At 39.9% G+C, this 10,229-nt stretch overlaps 1 protein-coding gene and 1 long non-coding RNA gene across 13 annotated transcripts in view, besides 1 other annotated feature; one reads left to right on the forward strand and one right to left on the reverse strand.

Moving 5' to 3' along the window:
- Window positions 1-10,229, reverse strand: part of RGS5 (regulator of G protein signaling 5) — a 179,437-nt gene that overhangs the window by 32,060 nt on the left and 137,148 nt on the right. The window lies entirely within an intron of this gene.
- RGS5-AS1 (RGS5 antisense RNA 1) overlaps window positions 1-10,229 on the forward strand; it is a 51,349-nt gene that overhangs the window by 12,684 nt on the left and 28,436 nt on the right. The window lies entirely within an intron of this gene.
- Window positions 3,248-3,417: an enhancer, noted in NCBI's record as "experimental_592 CRE fragment used in MPRA reporter constructs". NCBI's record gives its function as "activates a minimal promoter by MPRAs in K562 erythroleukemia cells, with activity observed for both the introgressed and non-introgressed 1:163147481 variant alleles {active_cell/tissue: K562}" and the evidence as "EXISTENCE:reporter gene assay evidence [ECO:0000049][PMID:34662402]".

Raw genomic sequence — 10,229 nt, forward strand, 5'->3', positions numbered from 1 at the left:
CCTGGCATTTAATAGCATTCAATAAAGATTTGCCATGTAAATTGATGAATGAGCAAATGAATGAATGAACTGAATTGCTAGGTTATAGTAAAGCTGCATTTTGGGGTGGAGTAGGTGAAATATTGGAGTGCAGCTTAGAATGAGTCACGGAGGACTAAGATGTCTCTAATTTGCTAACTGGACAGAGGTAACACCATTAAATGACTATAAGCACTATAAAGTAAGTGAATTCAATTTCTGTCCTTGAAAGAGATTGAGAATGGTCAAGTGGGGCATTTAGTTCCTCATATTATATAGGACATATGCTGATGAGAAGAGGCAGGGAGGATAATTGCAATCACTAGCAATCTGAAAAGAATCAATTATAAGACCATAATTTTTCAGGATTTAAAAGAAACAGAAGTAGCCCTGGGGCATAGGCTATTCCTGTGGTTGAAAGGCTTTCGGCAATCACAAACAGGTTTCGCTGTAGACGCCAGACATATGTCAGGAACAGCGAGAAGGAAGAAGAGAGGGAGGAGAGTTGAGAAGCATAAGGCAAGATTTTTACAACACATTTCCAAAAGAGGTGTCCTAACATCGGATAATCCAATTTAAATTCAATGCAATTTAAATCCGTGTCGCAGATGCCCCCTGCTGGCTGTGGGAAGGCGTGAGCATTAGCAAAGAACTGAGCAAAGAGCAGATTGGTTCCAGGCTGCTTCCTTCTGAAGAAACACTACGAGGTTTCTTTCCACGGACTAAAAAGAACATGTCTGGAATAGATACCCAGGAAAGAGAAACACAAGCTTCTAAAACACTCGCTAGCCGTCAATGTCCACAGCCGAGAGTAAGACATTTGCCGGATTAGAGACCAGAGGAGAGAGGAGCTCCTCTGAGTTCCGTGCAGCTGAGAACTAATCTGAGAGGTAGAACCCAGCAGAGACTGACAGAGGGAAGAGGGCCCAGAGGGTCCCTGCGCGGGCCTATCAAGAGGGAGAATGCATTTTGCTGAAAGCTGGAACAGCTTTCTTCCTGGCTGCTCATTTAAAACTTCATATCAGTGGAGTTTGCTCCTTGTAGGTGGCTCCGAGACAGGGTAATGGATGATCTTGAAAACCCTTAGCGGGAGTATAAGAATATGCTAGTGGAAAGTCGGCTCAGTTCTGGGGCTGAAATCCTCAACTTGCCAGGATCCTCAGCATGGCCCCTAAAATCAAGATGGACTCTTAACTGCAGAGAAAGGCAGTGCCGGGTGATTGTGGTGGAAAGAATCTATCATTTTGGCATCTACCATCTACCCTATTTCTGAATTTACCTACTTCAGTTTGAACTACAGAAAATTCACTCATTGCTTGTGCTTTAACAGCATATGAAAGAGAAGTTTAGTAATAGTGTGATATCATGTTAAAACATGTATTTATTTTCTTACTTGATTTATATAATTAATATATGATACATGATGGAAAATGACTCTATGGTTAGTTAATATGAAATACTCCTCGGGTGCTCCAAATGATAAAAAGGTGAAGAAAATGCTAAGGAATATATAGTAGTAGTAGTATTAATGTGTTATGATATGACTTCAGAAATGAAAGCTCTGTTTCTAAACACAAGTGAATCATTCCCTAGCAGTGTTTTAGGCTTTCACTCATATTAGTGATTAATTACATAATAAGCCCCTTCAAACTATAAGATGGCTGAAAAGATGGAACTGACAATGTCATTTGTGTCAAATATATTCACAGAAAGCACGTTTATCTATTATACCCTTTCAACTCTTGATATGTTCTAACGTTTCCCTTCAGCAGATTGTCTTAATAACAACTCTTTTCATTTTTATGTTCAAGCTGTTACCTCAGCTACCCCAGGTTAGCTCATTTTCAGTAAGGGACCATCACAAGTAACCTGCAGTAACAGACTAGGAAGTCTCCCAGGGTTCTTGTTTAAATAAGCTGACTTAATTTCTTAGGACCATGGTGGACAGAGAAAAGCCTGTGCAGGCCGGGTGCAGTGGCCCACGCCTGTAATCCCATCACTTTGGGAGGGCAAGGCGGGCAGATCACCTGAGGTTGGGAGTTCGACACCAGCCTGACCAACATGGTGAAACCCCGTCTCTACTAAAAATACAAAATTAGCCATGAGTGGTGGTGCATGCCTGCAATCCCAGCTACTCCAGAGGCTGAGGCAGGAGAATCCCTTGAACCCAGGAGGTGGAGGTTGTGGTGAGCTGAGATCACGCCATTGCACTCCAGTCTGGGCAACAAGAGTGAAACTCAGTCTCAAAAAAAAAAAAGAAAAGAAAAAAAGAAAAAGAAAACCCTGTGCAGCCTCTCCTTTTGTTCACTTATTTATTCAACAAATTAAAAGTATGTTTACTGAATGCCTACCACATGATGTACGCTATAATATGTTTTGATATTTTCAACGAAATAAAAAAGATAAGGTCCTCTCATTGAGTTTATGTTTAAATTGGGCAAGACAGATACAAAACAAGAAATGAAAAACAATGAAATAAAAAATTTTAGCTGGTTGTAATCACTACAATATGACATGATGTATGTCATAGTTAATTCAGCTACTTGACCTAATCAAGCATTCACATCTCAACAGTGGTCAGCAAACTCTTTAGAAAGACCATGCTCCAAAGGTGGCTGCTGTAGCTGCCTCAGCTATCCCTATAGAGATCGAAATCAGATGCTTTGCCAACTAGCAGGACGCGTGCTAGAAGTGAGTGTTTACACGTAGGCTTGTTCATTAGATAATGGGCTCTCCAGTCACAATAATATTCAAGTTATTTGGACTTGTGACACTATTGTGGAAACCCCCACCCATTCCATAGAAAGGTTTTGAAAATGTAATTCACTCTTAACCCTTAGAGATGGCACCTGTGGCTTGATTCCCACAAAGTCCTCTATCCAGACATTGATGCTAAGATTTCTTGTTGCCTGATATCAACTAAAAGATATTAGAATCCCAGCTTAGAATATTATTGTATCTGAGCAAACCCTTCATACAAGGTGTAGTCAGGGCAGAAAGAACTAGGACTTTATTGAGATTATAGAATAAGTCATACAAACATTTTACATGAGCTTGTTAATAAGTATTTGTCCAAAAAGTATGGCACAGTTGGATTTCATTATGCATAGGGTGGTCTTGCTTTCATAAACCTGGCCCTACTTGTTGGGCATCCTCTTCTTCAGTCACCTGGGGGAGAAACACACTTTATCTCCCAGATCCCTGATATATCCAAGTGTGGAGGACCACATGAGGTCACCAGACTTTCATTTAATCATACAATTCCTTAATCTAGGTGCAAGGACTCCACCCATGATCACGCAGTCACCCCTCTCCACGGCAAACACGCAGAAAACAAGTGATCTGTAGCAACTCTTAAAGATAATAATAATAGCTTAAATACATATTAATGTATCGGGTGTTAATGCATATATTCCTCCACATGTAATTTTTCCTCTTTAAAGACTGTTGCCAGGCATTTCATGCTTTCTTGCCTCTGAGGGAGTTGTGTTGTGACGTCAAAAGCAAATGATAATTGACAAGAGTATCCCATTTTGGTATTTGTTTTCCAAAACCCCAAAATCACTGAGATACGCCAGCTTGTTCCCAGAGAGAAGGAGTGAAAGACTACTGTGTTTGATGAGTGGCAAAGAAAGAAACAGAAAGCCTGAGCATGGTGGCTCATGCCTGTGATCCCAGCACTTTAGGAGGCCAAGGCGGGTGGATCACCTGAGGTCAGGAATTCAAGACCAGCCTAGACAACATGGTGAACACTCCCCGCCGTCTCTTCTAAAAATACAAAAAAATTAGCCAGGCGTGGTGGTACGTGCCTGTAGTCCCAGCTACTAGGGAAGCTGAGGCACAAGAATAGCTTGAACTTGGGAGATGGAGGTTGCAGTGAACTGAGATGGTGCCACTGCACTTGGGCCTAGAAAACAAAAGGGAGACTCTGTCTCAAAAGAATTTTTAAAAAATTAAAAATTTAAAAATAAATAAATAAAAGAAGCAGAAAAATAGGGAAAAGAGAGAATCCCTGAGAAAATGTCAGAGGACAGGGATTTAGGGTTCTATAACTAATCAAATCCTCATCTTCTCTAGCCACTTATGCATTTTCAGGAGTCCAGGGAGGTGGTAGGAGCACAGAAGGGTACAACAATGTAGTACGCCTAATGAGACTTGATCCTAAAAGCACCAGGGTTCCTACCCTTAACCAAGACGATACCTAAACCCACACAAGGGGCTCTAGCTTCAAGAGATTATGAAGCTTCGAACAAGAAACTGATAAATAATGATGCATTTATAAATTTTCAAAACCCAGCCATCTATAAGCATGAAAGGCCCCTACCCCAGCACACACACATACACACACACAAAGATTGCTTAAACTTAAACAGGAAGTGTTCAGGAGAACTTACCATAAAATGGTGATGAAACCATGGAAATCGTGAACAATAAATGTGGTGAAGTTTCCATTACAGAAGAAAAGTCATCAAGAAAAGACTAGCAACCAGCTGTTTTGGATAACTAAGTCATATGACCACCTGGATCTGTCCAAGCAATATCATAAGATACTTTCCAGATCCCTATTCTATTACTACAGTCAAAAGTAACGTGTTGAATTGTGTTAAATCTTCCCCACATTTGAGAGAGACAATGTCCAACTCCCAACTGTGGCAAAAATCCTGTCTCAGATTATGTAACTGGAAGCTTGTAAAGCAAATACGATACACGTTAAAAAGACTGTTCCTAGAGAGAAAGTCAAGTGGAACATTGAACTCTTAGAAAATCCAATTAATACCAAAACTAAACTCTTGTTTTCTTAAAGCAAGAGACAGAATGACATAGTGGTAAAGGGCCTGGATATTGGAGGCAAACTGCCCCGATTCATCTTACTACATGTGTGACTTTTGGCAAGTTTTTAAACCTTACCTTGCCTTAGTTTTCTCATCTGTAAAATGAAGATAATAATGGTATCTATTTCATAAGCCTCTTGTGATTAAGTGAGTTACTATATGTGAAACACTAATATTAGTGCCCAGCACATGTACTATGGTACTCCATAAGTGGCAAGGTTTATTATTATTATTACTTACAGAAAGTCCTGTGCCAATGAAGGAAACTGTCCAGATTATTAACAGAAAAAAATGACAGCTGTCAACATAGAACGTAACATAGAGCATAACAATTGGAAATAGAGAAAAACAGAACAAAACAGTACAACAGGAAAAGATTTGCCCTTGACTAAATCCTATTATCAACTTAGTCAGTACTTTTATGGGTGATCTTGAATATGTTATTTGAGCTCTCCTGTTTTCTGCCAAAAAAGAAAAGGTAGAAAAAGAGAAAGGGAGAAAGGAAATAAGTTTAGTGAGAAAACCTCTAATAGCTCCTCCAGCTATAAAAAATTAAGATTTCAAGAGGATCACATTCAATATATTTACTATATAAATGAGAGCAATCAAGGACCTGAGGTGTTCAATGCCTTGTGAATGGCACCATGTATTCCTTTTTACTCAACCCTTCTTCCCAATATCCCATTTTTATGTAACTGTAATATTCTCCTTACTCTCATAATTTATAAATGCTCCAATCTACATTATTTAGACTTTCTTCTTCATTGCCAATAGCTAATCTGTCACAAGTGTTTTTCTGTCTTCCCAGAAAATCCTTTTATTTTTATTTTTTGAGACAGGGTCTCACTCTGTCACCCAGATTGGAGTGCAGTGGCATGATATTGGCTCACTGCAGCCTCCACCTCCTGGGCTCAACCAATTCTTCTAACTTTTGTATTAATATTTTTTGTAGAGATGGCATTTTGCCATGTTGCCCAGTCTGGTCTCAAATGCCTGAGCTCAGATGATCCACCCGCCTCGGCCTCCTCAAGTGCTGGAATTACAGGTGTGAACCGCTGCGCCCAGACAAGGAAATCCTGTTAAATGTGTCCTTGCTTCTTCATACCTATATTTACCACCCTTCTCCAGGTCTGAATTACTGTAACATCCCACCTGCCCATTTTCCTCTTCCTATTGCAGTGCCTTCAGCACTCCCTATCAGACCAGCCTTGCAGAGACAATTTCCTCCTCACCTATAATGGTTCTCTGTGTTAACCACAGTAGTTCTCAAACTTCAGTGTACACCCAAATCACTTGGAGGCCTGGTTAAAACACAGAGAGCTGGGCTCCACCCCAAAGTTTCTTTATTCCCACGTTTTTTGGGTGTACAATTGTGCGAGTTTTAACACACAGATTATTGCTACAGTTAGGATACAGAACAATTCTGTCACCCCAGAAATTCCCTCATGCTGCCCCTTTGTAATAAAGCCCTTACCCTGTTTTTTTTTTTTTTTTTTTTTTTTTTGAGACGGAGTCTCGCTCTGTTGCCCAGGCTGGAGTGCAGTGGTGTAATCTCGTCTCACTGCAAGCTGCGCCTCCCGGGTTCACGCCATTCTCCTGCCTCAGCCTCCCGAGTAGCTTGGACTACAGGTGCCCGTCACTACGCCCGGCTAATTTTTTGTATTTTTAGTAGAGACGGGGTTACACCGCGTTAGCGAGGATGGTCTCGATATCCCGACCTCGTGATCCTCCCGCCTCCGCCTCCCAAAGTGCTGGTATTACAGGCGTGAGCCACCGCGCCCGCCCCCCTGTTCTTATCCCTAGCAACCGCTGATCTGTTCTCCATCCTTATAGTTTTGTTTTTTCTCATATACATAAGATCATATGGTATGCAACCTTTGCCTCTGGCTTTTCTTCATTCAGGAGGTCTGAGGTGGGGTTTGAGGATTCACATCTCTGGTTCAGGACCACACTTTGAGAACCACTGATCTACCATATCTACTTCAAACATCACTTTCTGCCTTCTAACATCCTCAGCTGCTAACCTTATTTCCCATTATTCTCCACAACCACATGTACACCTACTCCTGTTGCCCTCCTCAGTATCTCCCAAGCACACCATCTTTTTCTCCCTCCACCTCTATGCCAGTTTAATACTCCAGGATCAGAACAAGTCTCACTCTTTTCTTGAAACCTCTGTAACTACTCCATCCCAGACTGCTTTCTCTCTTATCTACTATAAAATTACAAAACAGAGGCATATTTAAGGGGCCTCAGGGAGCTTTTAATTTGCATCCCCCCATTTTAAAAGTGGAAAAACTGAGATTCACAGAAATTAAAAGATGTTTCCAAGTTCTCGTGGCCAGTAAGTTACAGAGCAAAGAACAGAACACATTTCTTCTTCTCAAGTTATGGATAGCACGTTTTCACGGAATGACTCTAGCTTTTTGTAAATGTATACCTAAGAGTCCCATATGTATGTACTCCCAGTTAGATAGCAAGCTCCTTGAGGATGGGTGCCTTGTCTTACTTCCTTGGTCTCCCCAAGGAAGACCAAGGAAGGTTATTTTAAATAACCTTAAAAATAACTAAGTACCGTAAAGTTGCTTTAACTCTTAGGATGACATAGATGATAAGACCACAGCTCCGCACTGCTTGGGTTTATATTCCAACTCTTACTTACCAGCAGAGTGACATTGGACAAATTAAATTCCAACCCTTAATTTAAATTCCGACCCTTCATTTTTCTATGTAAAAATGGTGATAATAGAATTTCTAACTCATAGATATGTTGCGATGCTAAATAAGTTAATGCATTAATAGGTTTAGCATGGAACTTGGTGTATAGTATTATAAATACTCAATAAATGTTACCTATTATTATTATTGTCACTATCATATTTGTCCTATCCCTATCACCGTATCTTGCATGTATGTGTTGATTAATAATATGTTAATTGAATGGATAAATGGATAGGATAGGATAGGATAGGCTCAAGAAAGATCTATTTGACTAGCATTCAAGGTAAACTCCTTTCAGAAGATTTCCACCTCATAATAATGCAACCAATTCTGATAGCAAAGAGAAGATACACTGCTGGCCTCTTCATTGGGAACTCCTATGGAGTGACAAAGAAAGCAAGTGTGGAGACCTCCACTGCTGCCTAGTTCAGCTCAATTACATTGTATTATCACCTCCCTGGTGCTGTCATTTTACTTTAGTTTTTAAAAGAGTATTGTTTTTCCCAAGTACTGGCCACTCCCTACTCAAGGATTCCCGTGGAAATTGAGATATTTCCCATGCTTTTCTGGGCTGTCTCTGACATGCTATCCCTCAGAGTAGGTTACTGGGGGTAAGGAAGGAGACAGTGGAAGGACAAGACCAACAAGACAGAAACAGTTTATTTCTCTTTGACCTTAAATTCTCCCATCTTATTCCAAATGTTGTTGGCAGGATGGCTGGACTTTTGGCAATTCATTTTGGAAGCCAGATAATGAATAGTGGGAAAATTGTCCTCAGGTCAAGGAAGACAGGCATTTATGGTTTATTTTGAGTTCCAAAGGTGGAGGGGTCAGAAGGGATTCCCATGAGAGCTCCTCTGAACACTGCAGTCATTCAAAGTCTTTGAGTGTCTCCATGTCCTCCTGCTTTGAATTATACTGCGGGACTTTATAGACTGAAAGTTTCTTATTGTACATGGCACTAGTAACTCATTTTATATACCACAAAAATATAAATGAAAGGGGTAGTAAAAGGTATTGGAGAAGGAGGGAGGGAAAGAGGAGAAATGTAAAATTAATTGAGATCTTAATAAACATTAACATGTATTACATCACTTAATAAAACTACAGTTCCCAGAACTTTAATGTGTCCTCTCATAATACATTTACACAAAAGATACAAATTCATTACTACAAACAACAATACTTAGTCAATATTTATCTTTGCCAGCTTTTTAAAAGAGTTTGCTGAGGAAAATAACATAACAATGAGGAATAAGAGGACTGTTTCTGAAGCATAGAATTAGATCTCAAACCATTTCTTCTTTCTCCCCCCAAAATTTAACAGCCACTTATTATTCCCAAGATTTCTATTTTCAGGAACAATCTACTGATTCATGCATTCAATTCATTTATGTATTCATTTACTTGTCAGATTTTAATAGAGCAACCACCATTTGTCAGGCACTTTACTGGATGCTATGGGGTTGTTTTACAAAATTAATAAGCAATTATTCCTGACCTGAAATTGCTTTCATTTTACAAAGGAGACATGTATAGATGCTTTTATTGAGATGCAGCTGTGATATGGCAGAAAGAGCCCTTGGTTTTGAATTAGCACACCTGAAGGTAAACTCAGGATTATGGAGTGCATTTTCTGTCCTTGGGCCAGATGTTTAACTTATTCGCTGGTAAAATAATAATGTTGATAATATCTACCTTGGAAGATTATGCTAAGAATTAAATTAGATAATATCAAATACACAGACAAGTTGAGGAAAATTGAGTAAAAGTGATATAAACTACAAGAATAATTGAAAAGTTCTGTGAGAGTTTATAGAACGAAGGGATAGCTTCTCCCTGAGGGAGATCTTGCTGGGACCTTGCATGCCAGAGAAGGAAATGGTATTGGCTTGGATCCCAAAGCAGGCGCCCTCTTTCTGTCTTTCTCCCGTCTCTCCAGTGATTCCTTCCAATGTTTAATATGGAAGTTCACATTTCCCTAATAAGTTTTCTAAAAATTTCACATAAGTTTTCGAGGTACATGCAAATCACATTCCTGAAAACTTCTCCTCAGCATTCTTAGATGATTCCTTCCTTTTCCTCCCAATGAGCAATGCAGTCTGCCCTGTGGTTCTTGCACGTTGAGGACTAAAGAATAGAAACTCCCTTAAATTGTGTGGTTACTGGAATAGGAGTCTCTAAGTCAGAGATCTGGGCTTAATGGAGCAACAAAGTCTAGGAACCAAGCAAAAGGTCACCCTGTTGCCACAAGACAACAGGGTGTCTTTAGGCTGAGTACACTTTTCTAGACTGTAGACATGAACCATTTTAAACAAATAGAAATGTAATTTTATGTACTTCAAATGCAAGTCACAGGTGACAGGAGACCATCAGTTATAAAACACACCACCAAGGGAAACAAAAAGACCTGAGAACTTGGAGAAGCCACAGAGAGTGTTAGGAAGCTTTCCTGACCACCCCATCCCTCCAAAAAAAAAAAAAAAAGGGAAGAACAATGTCTGTTAAATGAAAAAGTATCTAGGTGACAGAAGAAGAGTTAGCAAGGCATAGACACAGAAATAAAAGGAGAAAGGGGAACAAGTCAGATGGCCAAAGTTATATCCCCAAATCGCCCTCCATGGTGGCAGAAGGGACTTTGCAGAAGTGATAAGTTAA

Source organism: Homo sapiens, chromosome 1, assembly GCF_000001405.40.
Source record: "Homo sapiens chromosome 1, GRCh38.p14 Primary Assembly".
NCBI classification, from domain to species: Eukaryota; Metazoa; Chordata; class Mammalia; order Primates; family Hominidae; genus Homo; species Homo sapiens.